Source organism: Homo sapiens, chromosome 17 (assembly GCF_000001405.40).
Source record: "Homo sapiens chromosome 17, GRCh38.p14 Primary Assembly".
Taxonomy (NCBI): domain Eukaryota; kingdom Metazoa; phylum Chordata; class Mammalia; order Primates; family Hominidae; genus Homo; species Homo sapiens.
In genome coordinates this window covers 12,976,446-12,990,031 of record NC_000017.11, presented here as the reverse complement: position 1 = coordinate 12,990,031, position 13,586 = coordinate 12,976,446, and the positions used below count along the sequence as shown (strand labels likewise).

At 50.8% G+C, this 13,586-nt stretch overlaps 1 protein-coding gene across 10 annotated transcripts in view, besides 1 other annotated feature; it reads right to left on the bottom strand.

The window, feature by feature from the left end:
• ARHGAP44 (Rho GTPase activating protein 44) overlaps nucleotides 1-13,586 on the bottom strand; it is a 202,146-nt gene that overhangs the window by 1,612 nt on the left and 186,948 nt on the right. For 4 of the 10 annotated variants that reach the window (NM_014859.6, NM_001321166.2, XM_005256891.3 and 1 more), the window contains 2 exons: nucleotides 9,799-9,974; nucleotides 5,124-5,501 (listed from right to left, as the gene is read on the bottom strand). In NM_014859.6, the coding sequence (NP_055674.4) occupies nucleotides 5,124-5,501; nucleotides 9,799-9,974 (554 nt within the window). Of the gene's footprint in view, nucleotides 1-2,879; nucleotides 2,932-5,123; nucleotides 5,502-9,798; nucleotides 9,975-13,586 lie in introns of all 10 variants that reach the window. The other 6 variants (NM_001321167.2, NM_001321164.2, NM_001321168.2 and 3 more) reach the window with 3 other exon arrangements.
• Nucleotides 12,466-12,760: a silencer, noted in NCBI's record as "tiled region #8598; K562 Repressive non-DNase unmatched - State 21:Repr". NCBI's record gives its function as "represses a minimal TATA promoter and a strong SV40 promoter by Sharpr-MPRA in K562 cells {active_cell/tissue: K562}" and the evidence as "EXISTENCE:reporter gene assay evidence [ECO:0000049][PMID:27701403]".

Here is a 13,586-nt window from a genome sequence, read left to right as displayed (position 1 = left end):
CTGGAAGGCGGCAGAGAGAGAGGTGGTTGAAAGGAGGCTTCCCGGCAAATGAGAACCTAGTTGTAGGCAAATAATGTCAGCCTTAGGAGGCAGGGGTGCTGCTATTCTAGGGATAGATCATTTGGAGGTTGGTTTAAGCATTGTGTTGCACAGTCGATCAGGTTGTGCTCATGCCTGCTTTGCTTCTACCCCATAAGTTCGTAGAACCAAAGCACCCAGGATACGCCACTGTGGTTCAGAGGAAGGCCAGAACAGCACTCCCCTGCCAAGCCACAGGGTCCTTTATTCTTGATAAGAAGGATGCTGAGTAGGTCTCAATGACACCTTTTTGGGGATCTATATCAGACGACTGCATTTCATTCCCCAGAATCTGCAGGGACAGGACGTGAGACAGTGGACCCCTTTCTCCTCTCAAGCCTGTGAGAGAATGGGGAACCCTGAGCCAGTGTCCTCACTCTAAGAAACAGCTGCATTTTGGATGGCTGACATGGGTGGAGTAGAAGGTCTCCCTCAGGACCCTGGTTGTCATTGGTGCCAACTGTCCCTGACTGCAGGACAACCCCCACCTCTGGTTACATCCTTATTTATTAGGAGCATTAAAAGGTCATTTTTCCCGGCAAGATGAACAGGAGAAATGTACTTGAAATAACAGCTCAGTGTCTGGACGTCTCTGAGTCGGCAAAGACGACAGAAGTCCTTAGACTGGCAGCTGAGTGGACACGAAGCCTCTTTGCCACACCACGTTAAAAAAAATCCCCTTGCTGCTGCAGCCGCCGCCCTGGGGGACACTGACGAGGCTGTGCTTGCTGACTCCTCCAGGATGTGCTACAGCCAGAGAGCCAGAAAACCACAGATCCCCTGGGTCCTTTACTCTCGTCATGCTGTCCCCTTCCTCCGCCTGCTTAGTTTTTTTTTTTTTTTTTTTTTTTTGGGGGGGGTGGAGTTTCGCTCTTGTCACACAGACTGGAGTGCAATGGCACAATCTCGGCTCACTGCAACCTCTGCCTCCTGGGTTCAAGCGATTCTCCTGCCTCAGCCTCCCGAGTAGCTGGGATTACAGGCACCCACCACCATGCCCGGCTAATTTTTTTTTTTTTTTTTTTTTTGGTGTTTTTAGTAGAGATTGGGTTTCACCATGTTGGCCAGGCTGGTCTCGAACTCATGACCTCAGGTGATTCACCCACTTCAGCCTCCCAAAGTTTTGGGATTACAGGCGTGAGCAACCACGCCCGGCCTGCCTGCTTAGTTTCTGGCCGTCACTTAGCTTTGCAAGGCTGGGAGCAGCACTCCAGGAGGCAGAGGAAGGGAACACATGTTCAGACTGGGGAATACCATACTAAGTGTACAGACATACATTTGGACACTGTCCTGAAAGACATCATACAAACATGGAAGCTCTTGAACAAAGGTCCTCCCTTGCCCCAACCCCCAGGCAGCCCTCACGTCCTTCCAGTCTTTGTTTTGCTGCCTGATGGAGAAGCAGAGATTTGGGGCGTGGGGCTGGAGGAACAGCCAGTGCCACTTGTTCCTCTGAAGCAGGTGGCCTCAGACCCACCTCTGCCCTTCCCCAGCTACTTGGGTCATGTCTCTACACAGGTGTGAGGCTGAGTGGCCCGGGGCCCACCTCACTGTGCAGGGTTCGCTATCAGGTAAGAGCACCAAGCTCCCCTGCTTAGATTCAAAAATCCCAAATATGTCAGGCAGGAAGAGCATGACCTTGGACAAGTTTCCTACCTTCCCTGTGCCTCAGCAGTCAAATGGGAATAATACAGGGCGGTGATGAATTTAGACAGGCCCAGAACAAGCACTTGTGTGAGCTGTCATACCTTTATCCTTGCTGCTCCCTTAAAGACACCCCCAAGGGAGGAGTCACTATGCAAGGGAATGGGATTCAGGGGCAGAAGCCCTCATCAGCATTCCTGGGAAAAGGGACACAGTGGCTGCTTGTCTCCAGGACACTCGGGAAGCACCCGCCAGGAGACCTGTCTGTGAGCACCAGATATCCTGGTGCGCCTCGGTAGTCTCTGCAGGACCATGGGCCAAATCGGGGAGAAGACCTGGTTTGCTTTGGCCACCCCTACTTACTGAGGCAAATACACCAAAGTCCTTCTGGCTTCCTTCGTGCCTTTCCCTCAGTTATGCTTTGAGGATTTACTCTTTATAGGAGGAGGAGACCAAATAGATACTGATATAAATGCTCCCCCAAATTTTATTGAGTTGGATAGAAAGGATCTGTCTGGCCATATCCACTTGGGATGAGGGAGAAGGGGAGCGGGATGAGCTCCGATATGGATTCTTTAGGATTTGCCAGCAGTCTCAGCCTGGAGGAAGCCAGACGTTAGGATCTAAGTCTGGAAGGGGAGATCTGCTGGTGCAAACTCGGGGCCACAGAAAATGGGGTCCAAGCTGTGGTGTGGACCCTGTGCTGGGCTGCACCTGGTATGACCTCCCCTCAGGACGCCTTCCTAAACAAAGGTGAGCAGGTGCATGTCCCCCAGGGTGCTGGGCACAAGCGTCTCCAGCACAAAAGTCTCACACGAAGAACAGATCTGTTACAGCTCCACGGTCTAAGCCTGAGGGAGGGCGGAGGGGGAGGAGCTGCAGATGTGATTCCAGTGAAAGAGAAGGTGGGGGAAAGGGGCTGGCTGGGTTCTCCCCCAGCTCCTCCTAATGAAAAGAAAGAAAAGGAGGCCAGGGATGCCCCAAAGCCAAATAAGCTCATGGATCAACTCATCCTTGCTGAGGCCGGGGAAGGCTGGAGAGTGAAGCTGCCATGCAAATGGTCTGAGCCACATGCAGAGACGAGGAGCGGAGGGGAGGAGCGGGCAGCTGGCCTGGCTAGCTAGCGGGGTGGAGGGGCGAGGCCGGGGCCAGCTTACCCTGAAAATCCCCCTCACACGTATCCAAAACTGCGCCACTCATGTCACACAGCTGCAAGAACACAATGATAGGATTCGGAGAAAGGAATCAACACGACAAAACATGAACGTCACAAAAAAAAAAAAAAAAAGCTATGCCAATATCACAGTCCCAGACGGGCCACATCAAACCATGATGGATTCTACACTGGCTCAGAGACCTGAACGTATGGGACAAAACAACAGTCTGCTGCCAAAAGGACATTAAAATAGGGTCCGCACAGGGCGAGGGACATTATGAATCCTGAAGGTCAGGAGTTCTTAAACCTGCAAGATGGAACATGAGCCACTCCGCTTCTTAGAGCCCTGGGGGTGCTGTCCTCCCAGGCCTTCTGTTGCCCACTTTTGTTCCCCAATTTCTCCTCTCCTTCTGCTCTTTTCTGCTTCTCCATTGATATCTTCTGCTCATTCTTTTTTTTTTTTTTTTTTTTTTTTTTTTTGAGATGGAGTCTCGCTCTGTTGCCAGGCTGGAATGCAGTGGCACAATCTCGGCTCCACCTCCCAGGTTCAAGCAATTCTCCTACCTCAGCCTCCCAAGTAGCTGGGACTAGTGGCACGTGCCACCATGCCCAACTAATTCTCCTCGGCCTCCCAAAGTGCTGGGATTACAGGCGTGAGCCACCGTGCCTGGCCATCTTCTGCTCATTCTATTGCTTATGTATTGACACTACCTTGTGTCCCTTCCCTGGGGTGGCTGGAAGAGTCACCAGATGTGACACACTGGGAGGAGCAGCCCTGGAGACCTGGCTCGGGTGACCTTCAGCTCCTCCGCAGCTGTGACCTTCCCCGAGGGCAGCAAGCCTGTGCCCTCCTATCATGGGCTCCTTCAGGAGACACCTCAGCACCAAGACCCACCAAGATGGGCGTGGTGCTACTGCATTTTCCAGGGAGAAATTTGCCTAATTTTTAATAAGCCTCGGGGTAGATGACAGCAGCTGTACCTTCAACATTAATCACATCCAAAAATAAAGAAGCCGAATCACCAGATGGCTCTTCCCCGTAATATTTAAATCTGACCCAGTACAAACACTTGCAAATTGGACTAGCCTTTTCAAAGGCAGCACGGAGCTGAACCCCACAGGGTCACTGCTTCCGTCTAATCACGGAAGAAATAAATCACTCTTTTGGAGAAGGACGTGGAGGGAAAAGTGCATTATCACAAAAAGTCCCAGTGCATCCTAGGACAGCACTGTTCTTTGAAATGGGTGAGTGGGTGTGTGTGTATGTGGTGTGTGTGTTCCAACCCAAGCTGCCTCACCTTCTGCTACTTGGGACAACACTAGGTACACATATGCTCCAGCTCACCGCCATGCTACTGCACTTTACTAAGTGGGTTGGCTCTAGCCCAAGACACAGCTCAACCCTGTGCCTGTCTCCCTGAACAAGGAAAATGCTCAAATGACTTTAGCAGCCACCACAAATAGGCCCCTGACTTTATAATCTTATGTGGTTGAAGTGTCTGGGGAGATGTTCCAAAAACATCCCGTTCCTTCCAGCCAATGAATGGTTTTGGCTAAACGTGGTGTGTGTTTGCGATTTTGTGCTTACAGATTTTTCTGGGGGAAGAGAGCTCCGTCTTTGTTTCTAAATTTAAGCCCAAACTAAATTAAGTCGTTGTGGGTTTGTCCAATTAGCTCCTCAGGGAATTGGCCAGGGAGGGGAGTCTGGTGGAGGAGAATGGAGACATGCATGTTTTCTGAAATTCACCCCTCTCTAAATATCTATCTGGAAGTATATTTTTCTAGCAAGGCTTATTTTAGTAATAGTAAAAAACATCTTGGGTTCTTAGCCCCTGTTCTCCAGATAAGCATTTATACCTGTCAGTTGCTTGGGCTCTATCCAGGAAATACCTGAGTTTTGATGCTGTTTTGTGATCATAACCAGCTTCCAGCCTCTCCTGAGGCCCCACTCCAAATGACTCAGTGTCTTCAACCCCCGATAATAAGAGCAAAAACAGAACCCCAGGCTGGTGGGCTTAGACCGAGAGAGATCCCATAAGAAGCCCCTGTGTGGGACACATGGATTCCAGGGTTGCTTTCCATTGGTGGGCTTCTAAGGAGATCTTATGAGCTACCCCTGGTGCCAGCCCAGTCATCCCAAAGCACGCAGGAATGTGTTCACTGGCAGTAACACTAGCAATCCCTCCCCTAGGCACATTTCACTAAAGTTCATAAAAAAAAGTGAGGGAGCCTGTGGCTTGGTTACCTGTAGACATGCTTTCCCCAGGGGACATGCCATCTAGCATGGGGGCCTCCGTGGACTGTGGACTAGAGGCCGAGAGGTTTACTGTGGGAGGCTGAGGAGGCGGCAGAGTAGGTCTCTGTCGCGGCTTAGGAGTGGGCCGCGATTTGCTCAAAGTGCTTGTAAAGACAGAAGGAGAGGCCAGGGGAGGAGCTGCAGCTGGGGAGAGCTGGCCCGAGGCCAAGGAGTACCCCTGAGGGTAGCTCAGTCCATAGGGTGACGGGGTGCTGGGCGGGGTGGGGGACAGGCTGACTGGGGACGGCTGGCCAGCGGACTGGTCTGCCATAGCCCCCGGCTGGCCAAAGGGGACCTTGGGTGGAATCGGTGCCAGCTTCTTTGAAACTGAAAGAGAAAACACAACACAACAACAAAACACAAAGTTGTTGAATGAAGCCACTTGTGGGGCCTGTTCACACACCCTTCAGCGTTCAAAGCTGTCCCCACCTCCTGCCCCTCGCCACCCACCCACACCTCCCTGCCCTGCCCCCCGGCCTCTTGCCACATTGACAGCAGCCAATACAATTTTTAAAAATTAACCGAGAACTGCAAGTTTTCCTATCTTCCCATCTGTTAACTAATTTTTCCTCCTCTTTTCTGGATTTCTGCCCTGATCTACACACGCACACCCAGCCAAACTAGAGAACAAATTTCCCATCCACAGGAGTGGGCTGCCTTCCCAGTGGTGAGAGGCATCGCTGCTACTCTCTGAGCAAGAGTGAGTCAGTGGGGCAGGGTCCAGCAGAGGATGACTCCAGTTCAATTTGCTGTAATGGACAGAGGAGCCCTGACACAGGGGCAGGTCCTCGGGATAGAAAACTGACTTTTGGCTGAACCTGTCCAGTGGCTTCTGGCTCCCCTAACAGTGATATGTGAGCAAATCCTCCGGCCACAGAACCCCTGTTCCTTCATTACTTTATATGCTGTGCCTCAATCCTGCATCCCTGCTGCTGAGGCTTTCTTCTCATTCTTGTTTCTTCCTAGAATTGTACCCGCTGGTCTAAGCATGTATGGATCGACTGCATTTTTCGTTGTTTTTCTGGGGTTTTTTTGTTGTTTTTTTTTCTTTTGGAGACGGAGCTTTGCTTTTGTCGCCCAGGCTGGAGTGCAATGGCGCGATCGCCGCTCACCACAACCTCCGCCTCCCAGGTTCAAGCAATTCTCCTGCCTCAGCCTCCTGAGTAGCTGGGATTACAGGCGCCCACCACCACGCCTGGCTAATTTTGTGTTTTTAGTAGACACAGGGTTTCTCCATGTTGGTCAGGCTGGTCTTGAACTCCCAACCTCAGGTGATCCGCCCGCCTCGGCCTCCCAAAGTGCTGGGATTACAGGCGTAAGCCACCACGCCCGGCCAATCAACCGCATTTTTCAAAGTACATTATTGCCCTGACCTCCTTTGCCTTACCTTCATTATCCTTTTCCCAATCTCCCTATAGGATGACAAATCCATTATACCTTTAATTGAAAATGAATTGGTAAAGACAATAAATTCAAACGTCCAGGAGATACTTGATGGGCAAATATCTTGAGAGAGTGATCACTAACCTGTTAGGCTTAAGTGAGGACTGGCTGTGTGTGGGTCTGATTCCTTTTTTTTTTTTTTTTTTTTTTAAGATGGAGTCTCGCTCTGTCACCCAGGCTGGAGTGCAGTGGCGCGATCTCGGCTCTCTGCAAACTCCGCCTCCCGGGTTCATGCCATTCTCCTGCCTCAGCCTCCCAAGTAGCTGGGACTACAGGCGCCTGCCACCATGCCCAGCTAATTTTTTGTATTTTTGGTAGAGATGGGGTTTCACTGTGTTAGCCAGGATGGTCTCGATCTCCTGACTTCATGATCCACCTGCCTTGGCCTTCCAAAGTGCTTGGATTACAGGCGTGAGCCACGGTGCCCAGCCATGTGTGTGGGTCTGATTCTAGAAGGAATTATCTTGTAAGTCCTAAGGGAGAGGTCAGAAGCTCTTCCTTCTCCCCACCCCACCCCCACTCCCTCCAAGGAACAAGGTCTGTTAGGAGGACACCTCATGTATTCTCTGGGTGTGTCAGTCTGCAGTGTGGACAGAAGGACATGCCCTTCAGAATCCTACCAACGTGGGCTCAAATTTCTATCCTGCCACTTACCCGCTGTATTCCCTGGGTCAACTTATTCAAACATCTTCTATGCAATTGGAGGAAAAAGATTTTCTCTGCAGCAGTGTAATAATTAAATGAGATCATACATGTCAAGTACCACATAATCATGACATAATAAAACCACTTAACTTTCCAATTTCACTTTTCAACTCTACTTCCTGAGTACAGGGGAAGTGCTTCCAGCAGCTGCTACTGCAGCTCATGGCAGCCACGTGGTCATGGGTGACAGACGCAGGGGTACCCCTGGATGAGAAGCAGGTGGAGACCCTAGGTATCAATGCTTGCACATGCCTTCTCACGAAGGAGCTGGGGGACAGAGGATGCATCACCATGTCTGTGATGACATTTACCACTTCCGGTGGTGACAGGAATAGGATGTGAAATTGTCGGCACGCTGTCAGAAGACTGAGGTGTCAAAAAAAAAAAAATTAAAAAAAAAGACCTGCTAAGTGTGCCATCTGTGGGCATGATGGGGAGTAGAGAAGAAATGTATACCTTTCAAAAGATGGGTCTGAGCTATTGAAGGTCACTTGGGAAAGGGACCTGAGTCACTCTAGGCTACACTGGCTGCCTAGGTCCAATGTGCTGCAAAAACGAAAAGGGTCAACCTGTCACTGGCATTAGGAGGCTGGGTGGCTGCTACAGGAGCCCTGGCTCTCCCACTGGACGAGACAATGACTTAGCCATCACCCCTGTATTGTAGTGCTGTGGGGAAAGTTAAAGGACTCTTTTTTTTTGGAGACAGAGTTTTGCTTTGCTGCCCAAGCTGGAAGGCAGTGGCACGATCTTGGCTCAGTGCAACCTCCACCTCCCAGGTTCAAGCAATTCTTGTGCCTCAGCCTCCTGAGTAGCTGGGATTACAGACGCCCACCACCACGCCCAGCTGATTTTTTTATATTTTAGTAGAGACGGGTTTCACCACGTTGTCCAGTCTGGTCTCAAACTCCTGAGCTCAGGCAATCTGCCCATCTCAGCCTCCCAAAGTGCTAGGATTACAGGCAGGGGCCACTGCGTCCGGCCAGTTAAAGGACTCTAAAACAAAGAGGTGCCTGGCCGGGTACAGTGGCTCACGCCTGTAATCCCAGCACTTTGGGAGGCCGAGGTGGGCAGATCACCTGAGGTCAGGAGTTCGAGACCAGTCTGGCCAACATGGTGAAACCCCATCTCTACTGAAAATACAAAAATTAGCCAGGTGTGGTGGTAGACGCCTTTAATTTCAGCTACTTGGGAGGCTGAGGCAGGAGAATCGCTTGAACCCAGGAGGCGGAGGTTGCAGTGAGCCGAGATTGTGCCATTGCACTCCAGCCTGGGGCACAAGAGCAAGACTTCGTCTCAAAAAAAAAAAAAAGACATAACCAAGAATATGGCATCTAGACCAAGGAGAAACCATTGGTGCTGGAGAAATGCTCTGAGATGCTGAAATCTCACGCCGGCACTTTGGCCCAACTCCTATTCAACCTTCACGATGTCGTTTCCGCTGGGCCACCTGTCCTAACTCCTGAGTCGAGAAAGCATGCTCCCAGGTGTCCTTACAGTACCCTGAGTGTCTCCCAGCACAGTGCCAACACCTTTGCCTTATCATTGCCTTCCTCTCTGGAAAGCACAGAGCTCTGTACATAGCAGGATTTAATAAATTTGTGTAGAATGCAAAAGGAATGAGTAGGGATCGAATAAGATCCACGGGCTTGGTGAGGGCAGACAAAGAGAATGAAACTGCCACTGCAGATCGGAACTAAGGGGGCTGGAAAAGGGCCTGTCATGAAGGCACATGTGGATGAGCTAAATCCGGGCCCTATTCGACAAATCCAGGAGTTAAAAGCCGCTCCTAGAAGTGCGAGTGGTCTGAAATTAGAACACACAGGATGATGTATTATTTTAGACGAGTGAAAGACTCTGCAAAGAGATGACACAGGTAAGAACAAACCAAAAAGGTTCAGATAAGTACGCTCAGTACAGCTCCCCATTTATGAAATGTCACATGGAGCATACCTTTAGCTTTTGGAAGTGATTATCTGAAGAGATAATAACTGGTCAGTGTGGCCATTCTTGGGCCATTCAGAGCTGAGACTCAGGTACTACAGAAGCTATCCTGACTCCCTCCTGTCACCCTGTACGAGTGATCTAGGGGTAGGCAGCTGTGCCAGGCTGCCCTGCGGGGAAGGAGACTCCTGTAGATGACCCTATACAGCTTTTCAAATGACAGAGGTAGGGCCCGGCAGGTCTCTGGAAAACACACATCATTGTGGACAATGAATTTTGCCCTGGTGGCATCATTTGGTGTATGGGAAGCACTGGCCTCTATACGCCCCTAATGAGCCCACCTGTCAAATAAGTAAACTGAGGAATAATAGAGAAAGGATCCCTTTTAACTTCCAAAGCTCTAATGTCCAGATGGGAATTAGTCACTAAACCACACAGTTTCTCAATATCCAAGTTCATAGAGGAAAACGAGCCTTCAGGGAATGTCACAGCCACCTCCGGCCTGAGACCAAGGAGAAGGGAAGCAGGGCCATACCTTTCCGGAGGGTGTGAGGACTCTGGTCTGCAGGCGGCTGGCTGGGGCTGGGGCTGGCGCCCGGCTGAGCTCCAGGTTGAGCCCCTGGTTGAGTCCCTGCACAGGCTGTGCCCTGGCTGGAGCCTGGACTTCCTTTCTGTGCAGAGCCTGGAGAAAGTTCCTTGCTTTTTGTTGTGCTGAAACGAAAGCACATGAGACAAAAGAAAAGCCCTGAACTCAGTGAGCGGCAGCACCAGCCTTGCCGATGGCCACCCTGTGTGTCCTTCTGGGCCCCGTGCAAGTCTGTCCCAGCTCTGGTCTGTCTTGGCCCCTTCCTAAAACCTTCGCAGGTGCCCCTTGGGGTGACTGCCCTTCCTGGAGCTCTGATGGCCTGGGTTCTGCCCCCATCTCTGTGGCACTTGGCACTCACTGCCAATGCCCTTTTCATGCCTCTGCCCTCCTCTCTTCAAGGAGACCGTGAGCAATGTGAGGGCAGGGGCCTGAGCACCTCTACCGTATCCTGCCATCAACCCAGGAATTCTAGAACATTCTCAAACTGGAACACCAAAGTGCTTTTCCTACTGTAGCCAAGAGGACTTCTCAGGGCCACTGTGCCCAACGAGTGCTGATGACACGGACTCCTGCTGCCAAGCTTGTGGCCCAGCTCTCCAGCTGTTTGCCCTGAGCCTCCAGCCACCCCCCAGGCAGGAGGGATTCTAGGACTCATCCTCAAACTCAATACCCATTCCAGCAGAAGCTAGGGTGGACAGAAATCCAGGCCATGCCCTTAAATGTGGGCCAGTTTGAGTCCCAGTCCCAGGCTTCAAGAGAGGTGAAGGTCGATGGCAGTGAGGGCTCTGGCCTCTGACCTCTGGAATTGACAATGAGGCACCCTAGGTCACCAGGTTTCCTAAAGAGGATTCATCGTTACTGCAAGGCTGTTCCTCAGCCTTCTTCTGAGGATGAAGCACGTATTAGAAGACACCTCACTCTACACCACAAACCAGGGATTTGTCATCCTGATACGCTGATGGTAGATATTACTAATTGATCTCCACACTTCCCCCACAGTGTTCTCAATCCTTTCCAAGAAAATTCTCCAGGTGGCCTTTAGTGAATCAGGGGAGATGCCCCACAGTTGGGAGCCATCTGTCATCCGTGCTAGAACCTACCTGGATTCTGATGCCCACAGGTGGGGCATGAAGAGTCTGGGAACCCAAATCCTCTGCAATGGCTGTTTCTATCCCACAAGAGCAGGCACAACCTGGGCCGGGCATGGTGGCTCATGCCTGTAATCCAGCACTTTGGGAGGCCGAGGCAGGCAGGTCACCTGAGGTCAGGAGTTTGAGACCAGCCTGGCCAACATGGCGAAACCCTGTCTACACTAAAAATGCAAAAATTAGCTGGGCGTGGTGACATGTGCCTGTAATCCCAGCCACTCGGGAGGCTGAGGCAGGAGGATGGCTTGAACCCGGGAGATGGAGGTTGCAGTGAGCTGAGATCGTGCCACTGCACTCCAGCCTGGGCAACAGAGGGAGACCCTGTCAAAAAAAAAAAGAAAAAAGAAAAAAGAAAAGAAAAAAAAAAGGCAGGCACAGCCTATTTCTTTCCTAAACTGATCTAGAAACTCCAGGTGTTAATTTGGAGAAAATTCCAATAGGAATAGAGCACTCTCGTCCACTGAGGTGAGAAAGACTGGGAGCAGGGAGCTGGGCCGGGGAAGCCCATAGCGTCAAAGCACAGGTCATTTTCCTCATGCAAAGAAATAAAAGGAAGATCACATTCAATGTGGAGGCACATTCTCTCCCACTTGGGATGAGTCTTACACACTATACCTAGTTCCCCAAGGGGCAAAAACCATTTTATTCAGAGGAACCAAAAGAGCAGTAATTCCTTTCTCTATTCTGTTCATGAAAAACAGAAACAGAAAACCCTTGCCTCACTCAGGCTGGACAAGGACCTCAGGCTGCAGGTTACCAGGTACCCGGGCATCAATGCCAAATATCTACCTACCCTTCCATCTATCTCTGCCACTATCAAGAGGAAGGCCAGTCAACCAATCAAAAACATCTCATAATCAGCAAACTAAAAAATTGCTTCTTGTGGGTGGGTAGACTCTTCTTCCTTCCTTTGGACACACATCTATCCAAGGAATCTAGGAATGAGCTCTTCCTTCTGTTCCCTGCCACGAAACACACTTTTTTTTTTTTTTTTTTTTGAGATGGAGTCTTGCTCTGTTGCCCAGCTGGAGTATAGTGCCATGATCTCAGCTCACTGTCATCTCTGCCTCCCAGGTTCAAGCGATTCTCCTTCCTCAGCCTCCCAAGTAGCTAGGATTAAAGGCATGTGCCACCACACCCAGCTAATTTTTGTATTTATAGTACAGACGGGGTTTCACCATGTTGGCCAGGATGGCCTCGATCTCCTGACCTCAGGATCCACCCCCCTCGGCCACCCAAAGTGCTGGGATTGCAGGCGTGAGCTACCACGCCCGGCCCGGACACACTTCCTCCAGCACAGAAACAAGTATTTACCCACTTAGCCTTGTCCTCTTTCTCCAGCATAGGTGCAGCTGACCCAGTGGGGAGAGGTGGGGCGTAGGGCGGCTACTAGGGGCGCTACCTGAACAAGGCATGTTTAAGGCACGTTTGAGGACAAGTTAGCTCTGAAGATGCATGACTCAGCCCATGACCTTGGTGCCAAGAAGCAGGAAGGAGAATTTTGGGGTTAGCATTCATGCTAAGCAGTTGGGCGGGATGTGGAGGCAGAGCCTGGCTGGACAGAGCCAGGGAAAGAACTGAAGGTGGGGCCTGGGGTAGGGAGTGGGAAGGTGGGAACCAGTCAGAGGCAAGGAAGGGCCTGCCATCAGGGGAGGGGGAGCCAGAACGAGAATCCGGCCACTCGAGGGAACATCATCTGGGCTGCAAACATCCAGGAAACAGAAACAAACAACACAAACAAAAACAATGGAACACCTGTTTGTACTGGGAGAAACCCATGCGGGGAGAGAACAAAAAGTGGTGTAAAACACAAAACACTAACATCCAAAGAAAAGTTACTAAACCGGTCAGCCCGGGCAAAGGGGAAAGACATTTGGCTATAGAGCAATGTGAGTTGGCTTTAAAATAATCGAAACCAGAGGGTGCCATTGCCTGCCCACAAGTAACTCTGCAAGGTCACCCACCGAGAATGTTCCTGGAATGCCTTCAGAGCCTGGGGGAATCCATCTTCAAGGAGCACTTTTTAGAAATATCATTTATATGCCAAATACCATATGGCACTGAGTCCCCTTTCTAAGATGGGAAACTAGGATGAAGCTGAGGAGTGTCCAAAAAGGAAGCAGTCCCAGCCCATCTCCCGCCTGTGGGTCCGTTTCCTCCTGGTCGGCCTCACCTGGCCCACCACTCTCAGACTCTGCTTCTCCAATGAACTCACTGTGCCCGCATCTGCATCTCTCAGGTCCATCTGTGGCCTAGCAATTACACAGCCAGGACCGAGCATCCTCTGAGTTGAAGTCATCAACAGCAACCCAGCATGCCCAGGGTCAGGTGCCCCCTCCTATGCTCTAAGACTATCTAACCCCCTGTCCCTTTGTCATTTCCTGGTTTTACAGTGAAAATACTTTTTTTTTTTTTTTTTTTTGACACAGAGTCTCGCTCTGTCACCCAGGTTGGAGTGCAGTGGCACCATCTCGGCTCACTGCAACCTCCGCCTCCTGGGTTCAAGCGATTCTCCTGCCTCAGCCTCCTGAGTAGCTGGGACTATAGACATATACCACTGCACCCAGCTAATTTTTGTATTTTTAGTAG